The sequence below is a fragment of the Homo sapiens genome, chromosome 8 (genome assembly GCF_000001405.40).
Source record: "Homo sapiens chromosome 8, GRCh38.p14 Primary Assembly".
In the NCBI taxonomy this organism is placed as follows: domain Eukaryota; kingdom Metazoa; phylum Chordata; class Mammalia; order Primates; family Hominidae; genus Homo; species Homo sapiens.
This window is the reverse complement of record NC_000008.11, coordinates 109,334,162-109,356,359: the sequence shown is the minus strand read 5'-3', so window position 1 is coordinate 109,356,359 and position 22,198 is coordinate 109,334,162. Positions and strand designations below refer to the sequence as shown.

At 36.4% G+C, this 22,198-nt stretch overlaps 1 protein-coding gene across 4 annotated transcripts, besides 3 other annotated features; it reads right to left on the bottom strand.

Annotated features, from left to right (window-relative positions):
- Positions 9,211–9,310: a silencer, noted in NCBI's record as "silent region_19469". NCBI's record gives its function as "represses an Ori minimal core promoter by ATAC-STARR-seq in GM12878 lymphoblastoid cells {active_cell/tissue: GM12878}" and the evidence as "EXISTENCE:reporter gene assay evidence [ECO:0000049][PMID:35858748]".
- On the bottom strand, positions 10,406–22,013 carry ENY2 (ENY2 transcription and export complex 2 subunit). 4 transcript variants are annotated; one of them, NR_036472.2, is made up of 5 exons: positions 21,886–22,013; positions 20,156–20,232; positions 16,970–17,040; positions 15,797–15,916; positions 10,406–12,955 (listed from the first exon to the last, which is right to left on the bottom strand). NR_036472.2 is itself a non-coding variant. In NM_020189.6 (5 exons), exons 1-5 carry the CDS (start codon positions 21,889–21,891, stop codon positions 12,879–12,881), a joined length of 306 nt encoding a protein of 101 aa, NP_064574.1. In that variant the 5' UTR covers positions 21,892–22,013; the 3' UTR covers positions 10,406–12,878. The 4 variants fall into 4 exon arrangements, 2 of the variants coding, with proteins under 2 accessions (NP_064574.1, NP_001180486.1); NR_036471.2 differs by having other exon boundaries at positions 15,797–15,869; NM_020189.6 differs by having other exon boundaries at positions 15,797–15,871.
- Positions 21,247–22,169: an enhancer, noted in NCBI's record as "H3K27ac hESC enhancer chr8:110346420-110347342 (GRCh37/hg19 assembly coordinates)". NCBI's record gives its function as "activates a minimal SCP1, AML or CMV promoter by ChIP-STARR-seq in primed H9 embryonic stem cells {active_cell/tissue: H9 hESC(primed)}" and the evidence as "EXISTENCE:reporter gene assay evidence [ECO:0000049][PMID:30033119]".
- Positions 21,732–21,981: an enhancer, noted in NCBI's record as "active region_27806". NCBI's record gives its function as "activates an Ori minimal core promoter by ATAC-STARR-seq in GM12878 lymphoblastoid cells {active_cell/tissue: GM12878}" and the evidence as "EXISTENCE:reporter gene assay evidence [ECO:0000049][PMID:35858748]".

The window sequence follows — 22,198 nt, the reverse complement described above, 5'->3', positions numbered from 1 at the left end:
CCAATCATAGAAGTCATCGACATTATTTAAAGTACCCCCTGAATTGTCGCATGTTTTAAAAATGATCAAGAAATAGGGCAACCAAAATATAAAGTACATTTTATCAAATAAAAGTTCACTGATTTCCAAGGGAGCAGGAGTTATTTATTTATAACTTGTTTGTGTGTGTGTGTGTGTGATGAGAACACTTGAAATCTTCTTTCTTATCAATTTCCAAGCACACAATATGTTGTTTTGAACTGTAGTCACCATGTTGTACAATAGATCCCTTGAAACTATTCCTCTGGTCTAACTGAAATGTTGTATCGATTGACCAACATCTCCCAAAGCCCCTCACCTCCAACTTTTGGTAACCAACATTCAACTCTCTGTTTCTATGAGTTCGACCTTTTTGCATTCCACATATAAGTGAGATTATGCAGTATTTGTCTTTCTGTGCCTGGCTTATTTCACTTAACATAATGTCCTCCAGGTTCATCCCTGTTGTTGCAAATCACAGTTTTTTTACTATTTTTAATGGCTGAATAGTATTCCCTTGTGTATACATACCATATTTTCTTCATTCATTTGCTGATATATACTTACATTAATTCCATATCTTGGCTATTGTGAATAATTCTGAAATGCACATGGGAGTTCAGATGTATCTTACAAATCCTTATTTCAATTCCTTTGAATGCATACCCAGAAGTAGGATAGCTAGATCATATGATAGTTCCATTTTTAATTTTTTGAGGAACTTCCATACCATTTTCCTTAATGGCTGTACTGAATTACATTGCTACCAACAGTGCACCAGGATTCCTTTTACTCCAGATTCTTGTTAACAGTTGTTATCTTTTGTCTTTTTTATTATAGCTATTCTCACAAGTGTGAGGTAATATGTCATTGTGGTTTTATTTGCATTTCCCTGATGATTAGTGATGTTTTTACTGAAGCTCAGACTATGAATTCTTGACTCTCAAGTAAATAGAAATGAACACCAGACCAAACAGAATTTTTTCTTAGGCAAGGGTTTTTTTTTTTTTTTTTTTTTTTTTTTTTTGAGACGGAGTCTTGCTCTGTCTAGGCAAGGTTTTAATAGGCTTCCAGGTCACACAAAGCAAGCAGAAATGTACAGAAAATGGATCTCAGTGCCGGCTCCCCAAAGGGCTTGGCTCTTGTCATTTTAAGGGAGCTAAGGCGAGAAAAGGAGCTATGTGTAGGCATATAGAGGAAGGAAACTTTTAGCACCTGCGCAGTTTGATAACATATTTCTTCATGTGTCGTATGTGTCATTAGCATGCTAAATCCCCACCCCTGGATGTGATTTGCAGTATTACAATGAGGGAAACTTCATGCAAGATCAGTGCTGGAATTCATTCATCTTGTCTTCGGCTGGCTGGATCTGGTCTGTTTATTGTTGGGAATGCCAGAGTCTCACTTCAGTAACCTTGGAAGACATCACTCAAAGATATAAATGGTCAGTTTCTTCTTTTTATGGTTAGGGATTCAGCCAGGTCAGCTAAGTTAGGAAGAGGCAGCTTTCTACTCCCTGACTTTGGTCAGCTTGTTAAGGGAGGCAAGAAGGTATGGCAGGGAAATGCCCAGACATTTGAGGCCTATGGAGTGGGGGTGAGGAGATCTGGGTTACTATGTCACTTATCTGCCAGGACCGAGTTTCTTTCCTATACTGGCTTAATGTTGAACACCTTGCTGTATACCTGTTGGCCATTTGTATGTCTTCTTTGGGGAAATGTCCATTTAAGTCCTTGGTTATTTTTAATCTGGTTGTTTGTTTTCTTACTGTTGAGTTATAAGAGTTTCATATATATTTTGGATATTAACCCCTTATCAGATGTACAGTTTGCAAATATATTCTTCAATTTAATAGATAGTCTCTTCACTCTGTCGATGTTTCCTTTGCTGTGAAGAAGCTTTTTAGTTTGATGTTAGCCCATTTGTCTTTTTTTTTCCTGTTGCCTGTGCTTTTAGAATTATATCCAAAACGAAGTATTGCCCACACCAATGTCATCAAGCTTTTCCCCAATATTTTTTTTCTAGTGGTTTTATGGTGTCAAGTCTTACATTTAAATCTTTATTTTAGTCGATTTTTGTTTATGGTATGAGATGAGGGCCTAATTGCATTCTCCTGCATGTAGATATTCAGTTTTCCCAGCCCTATTTTTGGAAGGCACTGTCCTTTCTCATCATTTGTTCTTGGCATTTTTCTTGAAAATCATTTGACCATAAATATATGAATTTATTTTGGGAGTGAGGGGTATGATTTAAGAGCTTGTTTAAGTTAAGGGCAACTACTTAATGTTTCTTAAAGAAAAGAAATTCTGCATTCAGAATACTTCGAAAAAAACTATTGATGCATGGGTTGGCTTACCTGGCAATTATTTTTAGCCACATGGATGGGCTAAAATTTTCAAGTTCATTAGGCTTTCTACTTTAAATAATATTATAATCTTTCCAGAATATGTAGCTGATTTGGAATATCAAAATAGAAACTGACATCTTTGCCAAACTTTGAAATGTTTTACCCTTAGCTAACTATCAATTTCTTTGAAAGAGATATCTATAAATATCTGGAAACTGTTTAGTACCCTTTTGGAAGTTACTTCTATCTTAATTGTATTAAAGTTGAACTATGAATCCAGAATCCTTTCCTTTCTGATATAAACTGTAATTGAAAGCATTGTCCTAGTCTATAATCTTTGATCTTAGGCTCAAAAACATTATAGGTAGGATATAACTCAAAAAACCTTTGAGGATTCTGATATCTTTTGAGGCAAGCTTATCTTGGCCTTGTAAAATAAGCTTAAAAAACTTTAATTTAATGCTATGATCTAAATGTTTGTATCCTCCCAAAATTTGTGTATTGAAAGTGATGGTATACCAAAGTTATGCTGTTAGGAGGTGGGGGCTCTTGAAAGGTGATTGGGTCATGGAAAGCCCACATGAATGGGATTAGTGTCCTTATGAAATAGGCCCAAAGGACCTCATTCACGCCTTCCACCATGTGAGGATGCAGTGAAAAGATTCTTTCTATGAACCAGAAGATGGCATTCATCAGACGCTAAATCGCTGGCACCTTGATCACCAATTTCCCAACCTTCAGAACTATAAGAAACAACTTCCTGTTTGTAAGTAATACATTTCTGTTGTTTATAAACCACCCAGTCTATGCTATTTTGTTATAGCAGTCCAAATGAAGTAAGATATCCTTTTTGCTACAAACATACACACACACACACACACACACACACACAATCTTAACTAATCAAGAGTTTCAATACTTACAAACATTAAAACAAAAATTTGAAATTGACGACATATCCTGCATAACAGTAACAAGCATGTTGTCCTGTCAATCACAACCCTACAGTGTAATGTTCTTATCCAAGTTAAGAAACAACTTTACCCTGATTTTTTTAAAATAAGGTACAATTTTAAAGTTACTCGTATTTAAAATATATTGTCTTATTTTTGTGTTAATAAAGATGAATATCATGCATTTATTTTGAAATATTTGATAACTATAATTTTAATATAATTTGTTTCCTGTATAATTCTACAAATTTTATTATGTGTATTTAAACATAATATTCTGAGAAAGAGTTCATAGTCTTCACTTGACTTCCAAAGGGACTCAGAAAAGGTTAGGAACAACTGATTTAGGCAGAGGGTAAAGATACAAAAGAAAGTGGGTCATAATATTAGGATTTGGAAAACTCCAACAGTTAGAGGTCTAGCAGAAGACAGGTTAGCAAATAAGACTGACAGACAGCAGCCGTGGGTGAGAGGGGAAGCAGAACACTATTGCAGTACAGAAATTAAGAGAAGAACGCATCTGAAGATGTAGAATCATCACTTGTTATCAATGCTTTTGGGAGGTTGAAGAGGGTGATAATCTCTCTTGACCTAGACATAGATTCCATGGAATGGTGATTTCCATGAGGCCAAATTGAGGGAGTTGAGTGGGAGGTGAAGGAGTAGAGACAATCCAATTAAAAACTTTTGCTTATAATGGGAGCAGAGGAATGGGGCTGTTCCTAGAGGGAGATACGTGATCAAGACATGGTTTTTATAAAAGAATGTAGTTACCAGGCCAAGTGACTATGCTGCTATGGCTGATGTAGCAGAGGGTTAAAATTCTAATGGAAGAGAGGGAGGGACAACTGTAAGAGAGAGATCGTTGAGAAGAAGAGAGGTGCTGGAATCCAGGGGACAAGTGGAGGCAAGGTTAAATGTATGGGTCCAGATTCAGGAAGACTGGTAAATTTGGTGATGGGATCATGCCAGGTTCTTGTCAGATTGCTGCTGTTGCCTTGATAAGCATGAGGCAGTGTTATTAGTGCTGGAGAGAAGTGGGAAACAGGCATTTTGGTGAGTAGGAAAGTGTATACCCTAGGAAAATGTACTGGAGTTCTTGGGCAGGAAAAAAGTGTTCATTTGAGGTTGTGACCATTATTTCTTTTCAAACCATGTTCATGGCTTAGACTACCTAATTCTGTTAAACTGTCCATACTACTCAAAGGAATATACATATTCCATGCAATCCCATTAAAATTTCAATAATATTTTTCACAGAAACAGAAAAAGCAAGCCTTAAATTCAAAAGATACCACAGAAGACCTGAAAAGCCAAAGCAATCTTGAACAAAAAGAACAAAGCAGAAGTCATCACATTTCCTGGTTTCAAATAATTTTATAAAGCTATAACAAATACAGTAATCAAAAAAGCATCATACTTTGGGAGGCTGAGGTGGAAGGATCACTTGAGCCCAGGAGTTTGAGATCAGCCTGAGCAACATATGGAGACCTGAGACCACAACTCCACAAAAAAAGTTTTTTTTGTAAATTAGCCAGGTGTAGTGCCACATGCTACTTGCAGTCCCAGCTACTTGTGAGGCTGAGGTGGGAGGATCACTTGAGCCTGAGATGTTGAGACTACAGTAAACCATGATCATGCCACTGCACTCCAGCCTGGGTGGCAGAAGGAGATCCTGTCTCAAAAAAAAAAAAAAAAAAAAAGAAAGAAAGAAAGAAAAAAAGTGTCATGCTGGCATAAAAAGACGTGAGCCAATTGAACAGAATAGAGAGCCCAAAATAAACCCATGCATGTACAGTCAACTAATTTTTGAAAAAAATGCCAAGAATATAAAATGGGAAATAACAGTCTTTTCAATAAATTATGCTAGGCAAACTAGATGTGCACATGAAAAAAGAAAAAACTGTTTAATCCATATATCTTAAGTACCAGGAAATCAACTCAAAAGTTGATTAAACACTCAAAGACAAGAAACCGTAAAACTAGAAGAAAACAGGGAAAAGGCTCCTTGGTCTTGGCACTGATGTTTTGGATATGATGCCAAAATACAGGCAAAAATAAACAAGCGAGATTACATCAAATTTAAAAGCTTTCTTGCAGCAAAGAAAGCAATCCCGAGTGTAATGGCAATCTATAAAATGAAAGAATGTGTTTTCAAACCATATATTTGATAAGAGGTTAATATCCACAATATCAGGAACTCCTACAACTCAATAGCAAAAAACAAACAACAATAAACCAACCCAATTAAAAAAACAGACAAAGGACCAATAAATATTTCTCTAAAGAAGAAGACATAGCAGTGGCTAAAAGCTGTATGATGAGGTGCTAAACATCACCATCAGGGATATGCAAATCAAAATCACCATTTCACCCCACAACTTTTAGAATGACTATTATCAAACAGTCAAAAGATAAGTGTTGGCGAGAATGTGGAGAAAAGGGAACCCTGATACATTGTTGGTTTGTATGTAAATTAGTACAGCCATGATGAAAAACTGTATGAAGATTTTTTTCAAAATGTTAAAAAATAGAACTATGATATAATCCAGCAATTCCACTTCTGGGTATATATCCAAAGGAATTGAAATCAGAATTTTTTTTTTGAGACAAGATCTCATCTGTCCCCATGCTTGAGTGTAGTGGTGCAATCATGGCTCACTGCAGCCTTGACCTCATGAGCTCAAGCAATCCTCCCACCTCAGCCTCCCAAGTAGTTGGGACTATACGCGTGTGCCACCATGCCCAGCTAGTTTTTGAATATCTTGTAGAGATGGGATTTTGTCATATTGCCTAGGCTGGTCTGGAACTCCTGGGCTCATGCGTTCTGCCCACCTTGGCCTCCCAAAGTGCTAGGATTACAGGCATGAGCCACTGCACCCAACCAGGATCTTCAATATGTGTCTGCACCTCCTGTCGATTAAAGCATCATTCACTGTAACCAAGATATGGAATTACCCTAAGTGTCCTTCGATGGATAATGAATAAAGAAAATTTAATACACACATCCACATTAATCTACCCACTCTCCTCCACACTAGAATTATTCAGCCTGAGAAACGAGGGAAATCATGCCATTTGTGAAAACATGAATGGACCTAGAAGATATAATGTTTAAGTGAAAAAGCCAAACACAGAAAGATAAATACTATATGATCTCACCTATATGTGGAATCTAAAATAGTCAAACTGATAGAAGCAGAGAGTAGAATGATTGTCAGGGGCTGGGGTGATGGGGAAACGAGAAGATGATGGTTAAAGTGTACAAAGTTTCAGTTATGTAAATTCTAGTGATCTATTATGCAGCACAGTGCCTATAGCTAACAATGCTGTATTGTATACTTAAAATTTTCTAAGCAGATAGATCTTATCTTAAGTATTCTTACTACATACATGCACGCACACACATACACACACACAAACAATAACGAAGGGTGGGGGAGGAAAGTCTGGGAGGTGCTGAAAATGTCTATGACCTTGATGGTAGTGATGGTTTCACAGGTATACACTTATCCCCAAACTCATTGAGATGTATGCATTAAATAAGTATAGCTTTTTGCATGTCAATCATATCTCAATAAAGTGGTTTTTGAAAACATAGAAAATAAAGGCAAGTTTTATATATATATATATATATATATATAACATGTATCCAAAGACATAAAAGGAATGCTGACATATTATACATATTATTGTTCCATACATATTAAATGTACCCAAACCAGGAAATATTTTTATGCCATCTGTAATATTTTATTCATTTTAAAAATGAAGCAAAAAATCACACTTGTATTTTGAAAAATTTTAAACTTATTTGCAATAAGTTGGTGTATACACTTCTATTAGATTCACATTTTAAATCTTTATCTCCATATATAGTATCATTTTTTCTATTCATTTTTCTATTCATAATCTATTCATATAGTACCAGTTTTTGCTATTAAAACATTTGAGAGTTAGTTACAATGTGGCACTTCATCCTTAAATACTTCAAGATGGAACAGGATCATTCTTCCCAAATATAAGTGTAAGACTCAAGAAATTTAACACTGAAACTACAATCTATGCTTAAATTTTTCCAAATGTCCAAATAATGTTTTGGATAGTTGTGTTTTGTTTATTTATCAAGGATGACACATTGTTTTAAACTTTAGTATATCTTTCTTTTAATCTAGCACAGGCCCTGTCTTTGCTTTTGCTTTTCTTTCTCTTTTTTTTTTAGTGTTTCATTCCTTCAAGACATTGACTTCGTTTTGAGAAATCCATGTAAATACATTTTTCACAATGTAGTGGTTTTTATTTTAAAATGAGCATTATCAGAAGGGTTGTGTAATTTTCTTCAACAAAGTTCAGATAAACACGTGCATGCATGGACTAAGATTTCAGAGTAGCCAGGTTTAGACAGGACTGTGTGTGGTTAGAAAAAAAAAGAGAGAGAAATTAAGGTTAATAGTAAGGAGGCTCTAACGATAAACCGATCAATTTTAACCTTAATAGTGACCAAATTTAGGCTGGTAAGGAGGGAAGTGACAGCATGTGGGGAGCAATGATAATGATAAAGGGGGAGTTCATTGAAGGTCTCTAAAAAGTCTTTATAAAGTGAAATAATTAGATCAGAAACACAGGAAATGCAACTAATCAGTGAATATGTCTGCTCTATTTTACTAAATTCGTCTACCTGAAAGCCCAATTTTTTTTTGTAGGAGGTGAAATATGGGTGATAGACCCCACATACAAAATTATTTTATGAGTACCATTGCTAGAATAGTACAACATATACACAAATCCATGTGTGTACATATGTGTGTATATACACATGGATTTGTAAAGTTCTTTACTATAACTGACTTTAGGTCACACCTTCGAAAGAAGCACCCATAATTCTTTTACTTGATTATATTGCCAGTATCCCTAGCAAATCTGAGATATATTGTTGAAATGCAATTGTCACATGAACCCCCAAATAAGTAATGAAATTAATGGTAGAACTGAGAAGAGAACCAGAGCACTCACTCACATACTGTCAGTATCTCAGCCCAACTGAATGCTCCTCAAATCAGAAAATATATATCATTACTTAAATCACCTGCATATCAGACAGGCTATGGTTTAATAAACATTTCTATTTCCATTATTCTACTCTGTGGCTGTTAGCCCAGAAAAAGCCCAACTTTGATAAACGTAGCTGTCTAGGAGGGATAAATTATCAAGGGTGTGCTCTCAACAAAATATTTTAAGGTAAAAATTTATATGGCAACTGAAAGCCATTTTTTATCATTTAATTCTAGTGATCCCAGGCACAAAGTCGAGGTATTAATGGATGTGATAAGCACTGGCACCAACTCCTGTACCCAAAATTACTTTATGAACAACGTAGCACGAGGACTGCAGGTTCTACATGCCTTTGTTTATTGACGTGTTTTACCATTGTAATCAAAAGTCAACATTCATTCAGTGGCCACAGGGTTTTGGCATAATATAAGGCTCTATTCATAGTGTGTGTGTGTGTGTGTGTGTGTGTTTTGATAAAGTGATACAGATTTAAAAAGGAAAATATGAATATTATTACCTTTAAAAAAGGCTATGAGAAAGGTACAGCAAGGAAAATAAACACTGAAAATTATTTTTCTTTCATTTTTATTAAGAATTTACTGTGCTTATTATTATTATTATTGTTGATAAAGTAAGTGAAATAGACTATTTCAGTAGCAGTGTATGCTATTTAAATCATCTTCTTGCTTGAATTGCTGAATTGACTTCAGAAAACGATCCCAGCTAAACAACATCTACATCTCACAGTAGCTTCATCTTAATTTATACAAGAAGCACTTTCTGAAGTCCTCACATTAAGATTTAATTCAGTAACACTTTCATCTTGAAAAAGTAAATGGCTGGGTGGCCTTAATCAGAAGCGGACCTGTTTGAATGAACACACAATTCAGTTAGAGCCCCAAGGAGGACCAAAATACTGGCTTCAAGTGCCCTCTTGTGGCTGATAACAGAATAATCAAATATAATTTGAAGCCTGGAATAAACTGGCACAAGCCAAATTTTTCTCTTTTGCCACTTACTTACTTACCAATAATTTATTAGGCACTGAAAATTCAAAGATAAATAAGATACAGTCCATGTCATAGAGAAGTTCATAACAGAATAAAGGCGAGATGACTACAGATAATTTCAACCCTCCCTGCTAAGTGCTACTATAGTTATATTTATTCTATTTCAATCAAGTTACATTGGTCATCTTCATTTTTGTAGATATTCTTATGGTAATTAATATTAGAAATTCCTAAAAAATAAAAGCAGCTATTTTCCACACAAGTTTAATTCATGTACTGTATCTCTGTACAACTAGAAAACACATTGTAAATAATTTTATATTTTTCAATTATTTCTAAGATAACATGAATCCATATTACTTTTTGTTTATTCTATTAATATTTGTTTTATTATTTGCATCCCTTCCAGGTCAGCACTATCAGACCTATTATGCAGACAAGGAAACTGAGGCAGAAGGGTCAGTCTTACCTGGTAATTCAGTATTAGAGATGAGACTGGAACCTGCATTAATTGCACTCATTAGTTTTCTTGGCAGATTCATCCAATGACTTTCGTGTGGTTTCTAATGGTAAATATGAGGGGTTTTATGAAGTCATTGAGTAACACGAGTTATTTACAAGATGGGTTTTAAACACACACGCACACGCACCCACACACTGGATCATTTCCAACATCAGCTACTGAACAGCTGTCACAGCTCTCTTCAGTTGGATGGAGCTTTTGATCAAGTTATGAAAAGTCCCATATCCAATTACCAATCCCCAGCATCACCCATTTCCTCGCTTGGCACTGCTCAACCAAATGATACACTTATAATGCCAAAGCAAAGTGATTACATAAATAATTTAGTTGGGTCTTCTTTAATCCTATACGAGCAGCTTACAGTAATCCTAATTAGTATTTTACTCACCTGGTGCAGTCATGTAACAGTAATCCTATTGAATTTCCAACATTAAGCATGAAAGCGTGCAAGAATTTAAAGAATATATTCCTAGCTTACAGAAATCAATCATGTGAGTCAAGATGTTCACAAAGTTGGTTTATTTGAAAGATATAAGTGATTCTAGATACAAACTAGAGAACATTTGTAAGTTGTCAAAGAAGCCTACAGGTGGTGGGGTAGAGGTGGGGAGTTCTCAGCACTATCATTTTAAAGCTATGCTCTTTAGTATTCTAAATTGCTGTGATGTTCTCAATTATTTTTAAATCCCATTTTAAAATATTTTCATAACGTTTTCATTTTTATATATTTTTGAGGTAATAAAATAGTATCTCTATGAGCAAATTTGGTTTATTTCCATATACAGTACTATGAAATAAGAACTATCCGCTATTTCTCACCTTTCCTGTGTACTATTTATGATTGTTTTCATTGTGATAATAGGTAGCAGAATGATGAGCATCCCTATCACTTACTTTAGAACATTGTTTTATAAGAGATGAAGTGAAACAAAAAACTTGTTTGGGTAGGTTTTGTGATTGTGTGCTTATCTCAGGCTCAAAACTTTACATAATTAAGCCCAGCTGGTTCAAAGACTACACTTTAAATTCATCAGAAAGATGAAATTGTCTCTCGAACCAAAGATCAATTTGAATCCTTTTCTCAACTATACCCAATTTATACCTTTTCTCATACTCCCATACTGTTCATTCACTTGTTCCTTCATTTTTTCCCTTGCCCATTCATCCACAAATAAGCATCATACAAAGTCAGAGAAGTCATTTCCTCCTTTCCAGGAGAGGCCTGCAAAATTTCAAGAACTACTGTGTTGAAGAGGAATTATGCATAGCTGCTTCTCACAGAAAAACAGTAGTGGGGGATCTAAGTCAGAGGGATGTCTGAATGTTTTAGCAACTAAAGCTGAACTCTGAAGGGCAAACAGGAATGAGAAACATATGAGAAAGGGGGCTTCTGGGTTCAAAGGTACTTACGGATGAAACAACTTCATAGTGGGGATTCTTTAGTCTAACTAGAGAAACACGATGTCAGATCAAGAAGGGCCTATGTGTTAATGCTGAATGAGTTTCATTCTACATTGAGAAATTCCAAGCAGGGGAATAAAATAACCAGACTTGAATTTTACTAAGGCCACTTAGGCAACAGTGTGGAATAGATATTGGAGGGGTCACAGATCAACTAAGGCAAAGAAATACTAAGTCTACTACAATAATCTGGGCTTGAACTAAGACAATTACGAGGGCACGTAGTGGATAATTTACAGCCTTGCTATATTCAGAAGTGGTTCTCAATCAGCAGCATGAGCACCAGTTGGGTACTCGCCAGAAATACAGAATCTTAAAGCCATGCCCCTTATCTTCAGAATCAGCATTTCAGTAAGCTCCTCAGATAATCTATATAGCTAGGAGGTACCATTCAGAAATAAGGAATATAGCAGGGGCAATTATTGGGGGAAAAAGTCATTATTTTAGGTAAGGTCAGTTTGAAGTGAGGATATTCTAAAAAGTTGATCCATAGCAGTTGGGTGTCTGGGTGTGGAGGCTAGGATGAAGTCTGGTTTGGAGACAGTTTAGCATTTATCAACCTGTATTTGAAGTCACGGTCTGACGCAAGTTTCCTGGGATTTGCTCAGGAAAAGTATATCCAGTTAGTGAGGCAGAGGGCCCTGGAGGGAGCCCTAGGAAACACCATTATCTACAAGTCCCAGACAGCAAAAGGTACTCCACAAGAAACAGAAGGAACTTCCAGTGGTAGCAAAAGCAATGTGAGGAGTGGGAAGAGAGTTCCAAGTGGCAGGATGGTCAACATTCGCATTTTCCAGCAGAAGTCACGTAAGAATAGACAAGAGTCCATTGGATTTGGCAATCCTGATGTCAGGGTAAAGCTAATGGGTGGAGATTAATTCCCATTAAGTTCTTTCTTGACCTTAGTATGTGGGGTTGCAATTTAAAGATTCTGCATTCAAAGTTCAGATGAGTAGAGTATGTGGAAGGAGCTTGGTATGGAGCCAACTTGCAAATGTTCTCTTCCATTAGATGGTAAATTCTTTGAAGCATAAGGAAGGCACATAAAGATGAGTAAGACCCAGTCCTAACCCTCAAAGTTTATAAACAATACGAATAAGACAACTGTAGTACAAGATGGGGCATTACAATTTATAAAATATTATGGGGACTCAAAAGAGGAATACACCATATGCAGTCAGAAAAGGTTGCTTACTTCTCAGCTGTTAACACAGAGAACTGTACATACTAAATACTTAAACTACATTAATTGCTTTTGCGCTCAACAAATTTGGTGAATTAGTAATAAAGACAAAGTCCCATTCATTTCAAAATCCAAGCAAACTTCAAACTCATTCATGAGATATTTATTAAAATAACACATTTAGGGAAAAAAATCAATACAATGTATACATCATTACTGAAAACTGTATACCATCATACAAAAAAGGATTTTATTTTGGGAAATTGTTTTCTAATTTATGGCAAGTTTTACTTTCAGAAATAAAACCACAACAACACAATCTAATTCAATCTTAAAGGCTGGCATGCTGAGCAAGGAATGTTCTTATTCTTTGTAGGAGCTCCTTCTTTACACTGTCAGGTACCAGGGCTGAAAAACAAAAATAAAAAAATAAGAGTAAGAAGGTACCAATTAATACATGAGAATTTAAGATCTGACATTTTGCTCAGGGTAAACAACATAAGAATTTCATAAATAACCCTCATGTTCAATTAAAAAAAAGGTAAAGTTATCTGACAAAGAAAAGTGTCTTCTTGCAATTCATCATTTTAAATGAACTATCCAATGCCTAAATGCACTGCATGTTGATGAGAAGAAAACGTGAGAAAATTCTTTAGGAGTAAAGAAGACCATTTTTAAATACAGAGGCTATAACAGATGGATAAATTTGATTAAAACATAGTAACAATTTATGCTGAATGAAAAATCACCATAAGCAAGGCCAAAAGATAAAAACTGAGGAAATGTTCTTCCAGAAAAGGGCTGATCTTTCTACTATACAGTTGTTTCACACTGATAAGGAAAAGATCAAAAGGCTAATAGAAACATGAACAAAAGAGATGAAGAAAAGGAGAGTTTTTGAACATAAAAGGGTCCCCATCTCAGAAGACAAATGAAATTAAAACCACATTTACATAGCATATTTTACCAATCATAGGCAAAAATACAAAGGTCAATAATATACTGTGTTGGCTGGGTACGATGGCTCACGCCTGTCATCCCAGCAGTCTGGAAGGTTGAGGCAGGAGGATTGCCTGAGTCCGGGAGCTCAAGACCAGCCTGGGCAACATGGCGAAACCTGTCTCTACAAAAAATAAAATTAGTGGAGCATGGTGGTGTGTGTCTGTGGTCTCAGCTACTCGGGAAGCTGAGGGAGAAGGATCACTTAAGCCTGGGAGATCCGGGCTAGTGAGCCATGATCATGCCACCGCACTCCATCCTCGGTGACAGAGCAAGATCCTATCTCAAAAAAAAAAAAAGGGTATATATATTTATACATATATAAAAATATACATTTATATACATACATAAACTATATAAACATACATAATATATATTTTAAGTATACACATATGTAAAAATATATATGTATACATACACACTGTTGGCAACATTGTGTTGGCAAGACTAAGGGAGCACTCTCATATTACGTGGAGTATAAACTGGTATATGTTTTAGAAGGTAATCTGTATTTTACTGAAATAATTCACATATATACACTCCGAGCTAGTAAAAATCCAAAAAATTACAACTGTTATATGTTATACTTTTGACCCATTTGACTATTATCTATTCAGAATATTAAACCATAAATGCAAAAAAAAAAAAAGGGGGGGGTTAACTAAAACTTCTAACGTATTTACTTGTGTTCTGGGGAAATGGAAAACTTCAGATACAGTTCAGTATTTCCATAAAAAAGTTATACAAATCAAATAAGCCAGATATTCTTCTTTACAAACTGTTTAGTTTAAGCCAACCTACAAATCAAGACTATATAATTAATTCAAGTCCACTGGAAATGTAATCAATATGTATACTAAAAATAATTTTAATCAAAATTATGGTGATTGAGAACAGGATTAGTGAGTTGCCTTGAAATAAGATGGGACTATAAAGGAATACCATGAGGGAGGTTTTGGTGGTGAGGGAACTGTTTGTTCTGTATCCTGACGGTGGTAGCTACACGAACCTATACATATGTATAAAGTTCACAGAACTGCACACTAAAAAACGACAATTTTACTGTGTTAAAAAGTATGTCTTCTCTTAACAACAGTAAGAAGACTAAGAACATAAATTAAAATATCTATTTTTACTTCTCTTTTATTTGCTCATTCTCTAGCAGGGGAGCTACAAGACATTGAAATGTCCAAGGTTTTAAGTATCGAAGGAGAAGCAAAGGATAGTTTCTAACTTGTATAGCTGGTTCCTAAATAATGTTAACAGAATAAGTGTAAGTCACAGAAGAAAACAAAAACAAAATCAATTTAGAGAAATTTAAAAATATAAATTCATAAGGGGAATAATAATTTTTTTTCCTTTCCCCGAGACATACTTGAAGAAAAAGTCATGTTTTTCAATTGTAAACAGGCCTAAAGAGATGGCTGACAAGGACCATGGGATTCTATAGCTTATTCCCAGCAGGGAGGAGTTCAAAAATTCATGTTCTGTAGTAATAATTTTCAAACTTATTTACTTTTTACACTTAAATTCTTTTCACAATTTCTGTGTGAGAAAACAACTTGGGCCATCTAATTTACCTTCCAGTTACAACCCCAACTTTACCAAAGTAAATGAAAATAATGTAGTTATATCTAAGATAACAATGATGTAGCTCCTGACAACATTTACTACACATCATCAGTTTTAACATAATATTTCCCATCTTAACTTTGCCTTCTGTAAACAAGGCATTAAAGGTTGAAATTAAGAAGGTGGTTGCATTGTGAGTCTTAAATATGAATTACTCTGAACATGAAGTCATGGAGCTACCAAATTCTTAAGTAGACATTTAAGACAGACCTTCATTAATTTTTAATGAGATAAAGGGGCAATGACTCAGGGGTTGGAATAAGACTTTGAATTATTAAATATTTAAGTGGAGTCATGCCATATCTGATAAAGTTTATAAATCCTAGCTTCATGTAGTATTTGACACTGCAGAATCCCGTATTTTAAAAATTATTTGCTTGAACAACTGTATCAACTTGCATTGGTGCACTGTTCTAGAGTACAAGAACACTGAAACCTAGTATCTCATTTGTTACTCCCAGACTATGCTAGGAGGCAGGTAGGCAATTTTAACTCTTTACAAGAGGCAACACAGGTAGTGCTTTTCCTTAAAAACAGAAAGAAAATCTGAACCAGCAAGAGATTTTAAAAAAATCATGTCTGCAGCATGTTTCCTTTAACAAACTCTGTATTCCTTACCTCTGCCTTTTGGAGTGATTTCAGCCACCAAGTCATCAACAGTAACGTGTTCTAGTCCTTTTTCTTTAATTACCTCTTATGCAAAAGCAAAAAACAAATCATATCATTTAAAATCATTATCTGTAAGAAAGATTTTCATAGAGGAAGGGTTAAGATCATGTTTTTAGAGTGTAGACTGGTTTTTTTAAAAAAAGGACACTGAAAATTTAGTTCAACCTTACAAACACATCAAGTATTCTTTAGATCTAAAAGATAAAAGTTGTTCGTAAGTCTCAGCTAAATAACCAGCAACTAAATAATTGTGACACTTACAATAAATTTAGACTGTAATATTCAAATCTAACATCTGTAAAATGCCAAAAACTTATAACTAACTGTTTTAATTAACATTTACTAGATCTCTATTAGGTGCTTTACAACATTTAATATTCACGATGATCTAATGGGCTAGGCATTTTCCCACTTCACAGGTGAAGCAACTGAGGCTTAAATAAGTCATCCAGCCCTGAGTTGAAATCCAGCTCTATTCTTTCAGTGATGAAAATCTATATGACCTTAAAGTCTATGCTTTTACTAATTTGTCACATTGCCTTCTTACAGTTAACATATAGTTTATTTTTATTTGTAGAAACCATTACAATGGGGATTCATTAAAAATATCCAGAGTTCCATTATATCAAAAGCTGAGACAGAAAGGAGGCTCCCCTTAGTGACATGTATAATCCATCAAATGGTATCATCAACAATACCCAGCAATTTAATAAGCTTCCCTTCTACTTTTTTTTTAAGTGCATTCTAAGAGCTTTCATAGATGAATTTTTCAAATATTCACTGTTAAAGACAGGAAAGAGATAATTTCTATAAGTCTGCCAACCCTAAAGTGTTCCATTTAAGTTAAAACATAAGAAACAATAAAGTTGCTGAAAGACATGAGATTCCATATTCTGATGCCAGAGAAAATCTTAAGTGCTCACGCTTAACAGAAACAGAAAATTTCTAAAAATTTGGGAATTAGGTCTACATATGCCACCAAGAGGAAACCATTACAAGATTAAATTCCATATTTGTTTAAAATCATGCTTGAATACTCAATATACCTTAAAATAAGCAACCCCCAAACCAATCCTGATCAGAAAAATGGGATTAGTTTATCTTCCAAATGAAACTGATTACCTTTACAGTGTGCCTTCAACTGATCCTTCCAGCCACATTCAATTAATTTAGCTCTCAGCAACTCTTTGAGGCTGTTGAAACAGAAGTGTTTTCAAATTGAACAATGTATAACATCTTAGACAGGAATGTATGAAGCAAAGTTTCAGTGTTCAACTAAAAATTCCCTGCCTTCCAGTTACAAAACTTTAACTGTGGCCTAATCTTGGTTCAAATGCTAAATAGTTCTTTGATCTCATGCAAGTACTTAAATTCTAGGCCTTTCATTTCATCTGGGTCTCATTTAATGAGTGAAATTAAATGAAGTGGAGGGGCTAAAATACTTTTCAAGAAGCTCTATTATTTGGCCACGTTATATACTCTCCACCGTCCTCTACCAACAGGAATATCATGGGTCTTGTACAACATCTAGAAAGTATTAACTGAACCTGGAGCAGCTGCACCTCGAAATCTTCAAATTCCAAAATCCATTCTTTAACCTCAACTTCTTACCCTTTAGCTCTACTATTTCCCCCATTACCTCTAACTTCACAGGCTACCCACCTCTTTGATCCCAGCCTATCAGGCCCTTCTAAACTACAAAATGACAATGGTATTTCATTGACTGTAAGACCGTTGTTCTCCCCACATTTTAACGATTCAGTAATTGGCATGCCCCCAGTGTTTTCTTTCTCTCGATGGCAAAAAAGTGGCAGTGTATATGCAACTAATGGCATCACAGGTGCAATAAAATATTTTCTTATCCTTTTGCCATATCCACTTTTACAAATCTTCAATCCTCAACCTAAATCATTTAACTTCTCAGGTTAAAAATGTCACATCCCAAACAAATTCTCTTTCCCTGCAAACCACTTTCACTATCCCTAGACATCCACTATGTGACATTCTCATCTTAATATTTAATTAGGTCTTTCAATCTTAATAGGGCCAAAATCCAACTTTTGATTTTCTACCAATTCATCCTGTTTGTTCTTCTTCTGAGAATGGCAATTCCATTCTTCTGGTTCCTCAGACTAGGAATCTCTGTAGTATCCTTCCACTCAGCTGCCTTGTTAACACTACACATCCAATTTATGAGCAAATCCTATTGGGTTCAATTTAAAACATATACCTAGAATTCACCTTTCTCACTATCTCCGCCATTACTACTCTAGTTCAAGCCATCATCTCTTCTCTAGAATATTACCATAGCATTCTAGGTTGTCTCCCTGCTTCTTCCCTTGTACACTTAGTTCTTCTCCTGCTGCTCAAAAACCTCCAGTGCCTTCCCAATTTACTCAGAATAAAACTCCAAGACTTTATTACAGCCTACATGATCCTTCATGATCTGCCTTCTCCCCAGCTATGCCACTGACTTAATCTCCACTCTCCCTCACCCAATTTACTCAGTCTCCCTAGCATCCCTGTGCTCCTCAAAAATGAAAGGCAAGCTCCTATCTCAGGAACTTAAAGAGTCCCTGCTCACCCTCATATCCTTCTGATTTTTTTTTTTTTGAGACGGAGTTTCACTCTTATCACCCAGGCTGGAGTGAAGTGGCGCGATCTCAGCTCACCGCAACCTCCGCCTCCCGAGTTCAAGCGATTCACCTGCCTCAGCCTCCTGAGTAGCTGGGACTACAGCCCATCACCATGCATGGCTAATTTTTGTATTTTCAGTAGAGATGGGGTTTCACCATGTTAGCCAGGATAGTCTCAATCTCCTGACCTTGTGATCTGCCAGCCTCAGCCTCCCAAAGTGCTGGGATTACAGGCGTGAGCCACTATGCACGGCCTCCTTCTGATTTCTTCTTTGTTTTTTCTATCTAAAATATTACACCTCTTTATTTTCTGCTTTATTGTTCCTCTAGTGCTCATCACCATCTGACATTATTACACAGTTTTATCTGTCTCCTCCCATTAGAATGCAAGCTCTGTGAAAACAAAGTCTCCATTTTTGTCTACTACTGTTACCTCCAACACCTTAACAGGGCATGGCATATGATAGAAACTCAGTAACTTGAAGCTGCATGAATCAAAAACAAACAACAAAAAAAAAAAACAACATACAATCCGTACTCCTTACCAGCAGTACTATCCTCTAAAGCTACCCAAGGCAGTTATCGATGCCTCCTTCCTCATTTTGAGGGTTGCTGTTTCTACATTTTATTAAAATTCTAAGGTCTCCTTCCAATTTTTGGAGTTTTCCATTTTCAACCCTATATAATCTTCTACCTCATTTTTCTGCCATCTATCTTGTCCCCTTCAAGTCCAAGCTCCACACCAACAGAGTAAGATTCCTAAAGTGTAAATGTGATCTAGTCATTTCCTTTCTTAAAACTTTAAATGACTCCCATCATCCAAAAATAAAGTCAGCAACAGATGCACCTCTTTTTCTTATTGTGTGAGATCTTACATGATCACCTGAATGCCCGGGTTGAGTTGAAAGATTCCCCCTCTTCCTTATACATATTTGCCTCTTCCTTATACATATTTGTCTTACTCACTTTATAACCCTGCCTCTGGGAGCCTTTCTTGATTCCTCAGCCCCTTCTTTGTACTTCTAAACCTGTTGATTCTGCAAATATTTACGTGGCCAATTATGAACCAAACAAAGCATTAGATGCTGGGTATACAATGTTGTTTTTGGTGTTAAAGAACTTAGATTATACTGGAGGATACAAACTAGCCAAGTAGATTGTTAGAACACAATGTTGATTAAATGCTATGATGGAACAAGGTATTTGGGACTTAAAAACATTCCTTGAAGAGACAATATATAAATTAGACCTGATAGTTGAGCTAGAATTAGCTAAAAAGGAAGAGAAGGAAGAATGTTTTAGAGAGTGGAAACAGCACTTGCTGCTCCAAGGTTGAGAGCTTGGTAAATGAAGCTGGTTCCACAACATTGTCTCCCTGTTAAAACCCAGGTAACATTATGTCTCCAGTTGTAATTCAGGTATGTACTTTTTCTTCTCCATCAAATTACTCTTTAAGAGCCATATCTTGCTCATCTTTCTACATCACCACTTCCCTCCAAGTCCTGCAATACTTAACAAACCTAAATTATTTTTTCCAGATGTTCGGAATAGAAACTTTTATAATCTCAATTGTAATTCTTTCCAGTGACATGTTTCATTTCTTGTTTAGATTCTTACAAGCTAACTATTAAAGGCGGTGAAATGTAATTTATTAACACAATCTATTACTTACCGTTCTCTTTCTCCAGTTTCTATCAACTTTTGGTTAATCGCTGCTCTCATCTGCGCATCTTTGTTCATCTTGCTAACCTGGACATCAACATGTACTTTCAGATATAGAACATTTACAAAGCATTTTCTGCTAAATCCTCTAGGCAGGCATCCTAACATGTTTACCATTCTATTAACTGAAGGGGTGATACATTTCAAGTGTGTTAATAATATCATTACTCTTTATTAAACACTTATGTGCTTGGCACTGGGCTAATGCAGTGTGGGTTTGCTTTTTTTTAAACATCACATTTAATTCCCAGAACGTATTGTTACATATTTATATTAATAAAATAATCTGTATTTTACTGATGAGGAAACTGAGGCACAGAGATAGAAAGTGGAAAGGCAAAATTTGAACTCAAGTACTTTGACCCTAGGAGCTCCAAAACTGAACATAACTGCCGATCACTTCTGCAGAGACTGCATCCAAAAATTGGGAGAAGTCATACATACTAAACATCAAAAAAAGATTAAATACTATTAGTAAAAAAATAAAATTACCAGGCCGGGCACAGTGGGTCACACCTGTAATCCCAGCACTTTGGGAGGCCCAGGCAGGTGGATCACGAGGTCAGGAGTTCAAGACCAGCCTGACCAAGATGGTGAAACCCCGTCTCTACTAAAAATAGAAAAATAAGCTGGGCTTGGTGGCAGGTGTCTGTAATCCCAGCTACTCAGGAGGCTGAGGCAGGAGAATCGCTTGAACCCAGGAGACAGAGGTTGCAGTGAGCCGACATTGCGCTGCTGCACTCCAGCCTGGGTGACAGGGCAAGACTCTGTCTCAAAAAAAAAAAAAAAAATTAATTAATCAAAAAAAATAAAATTACTAGATAAGGCTCTAAGTGTTTTGCTTTACTCTTCACTAGGATGAACCCACAATTACAACTGCTAAACCTAAGTGTGTGGATGTGTGTGTTTACACACACACTGCTGGTGGGATAAGAAGAAAACAAATCTCAAACTAATTCCTAACTTACAAAGTCCTCAATTGTCAGTAAAAACAGACAACCCAAACCAAAATGATGTTGAAAGAAGAGGAAAGTTAGGTTTTGAAAGCGTTAAAGCCACTTAAAAGTTTAAATTAAATAAAACTTGGCGTAAACTAACGTTTTCCCACCTAATCTGTCACTAACTTGAGATTACTTTTGTTGTCTTCCATCTGGCCTATTGAAAATTCAGACTGGCAATGAGTTACCAGAGTTGATTTTTTTTTTCTTTTTTGAGAGGAACAGGGAAAAGGAGAAGTTGAGTGAGAACTAGGAAATGCTTGCTTTTGTAATTGGAGGCTAACATTTTCAAAATAACTACAAGGTCTAGTCAGTACCACTCCTGGAATATTGAACTTGATCTCGTCTTGGCTCCTAAAATACGGATAGTGACCTTGGACAAGTCACTTAATTCTTAAAGGCCTCAGTTTTCTCACTGGTAAAACAAGGGCGCTAGGGTATCCCTCCCAGTTCAGACATTCTTAGGGAAAATAGAACAGGGCGGAGACAGCGGGAGAGGCGGGAGAGGAGGAGCCAGAAAACAAAGCGAGGACTGGTTTCAGGCCAACTCCGGTAGCACGCCCTGTCGGAGAGCCCTACAGGCCCGCGAGCGCGGGTCGGGGACGCTAACGAAAGACAGTACATCGAAAGGAGCCTGGGCTGGGCCCGGGTCCCGGCCCTGAGGACCACGGGCATAGCTCACCACCATCACCGCGGGCGAGGGCCGTCCCTTCCCAGCGACGAAATGACCCTTGCGCTGAGGACCGTTACCTACCACACTCTTCGGCTGCCCGGACTTAGACCCTCAGTAGCTCGGGCACCTAAGCACACAGAAAGCTAGAACACGCATTTCCGGGGCGGGGTCTCGCCACCCTGCCTATAATGTGAGAATTTAACCAGCGCGGGCCGCCTCCTGGTTGCTAGGGCCTCTGGGTAACAGAGTTCAGACCTTGCCGTCGCGCGCGCGTTAAGTACCAGGAGAACTACATAGCCCAGCATGCAACAGTCTCAACTTT

Excerpts from the sequence above, each read along its gene's own strand:
- ENY2 (NM_020189.6), bottom strand. Across the intron at positions 15,872-16,969 it reads GTTGAAGGCACACTGTAAAG|AGGTAATTAAAGAAAAAGGA; the intron begins GTAATCAGTTTC and ends CTTTTGCATAAG. Across the intron at positions 12,956-15,796 it reads AATCACTCCAAAAGGCAGAG|CCCTGGTACCTGACAGTGTA; the intron begins GTAAGGAATACA and ends TTTGTTTTTCAG.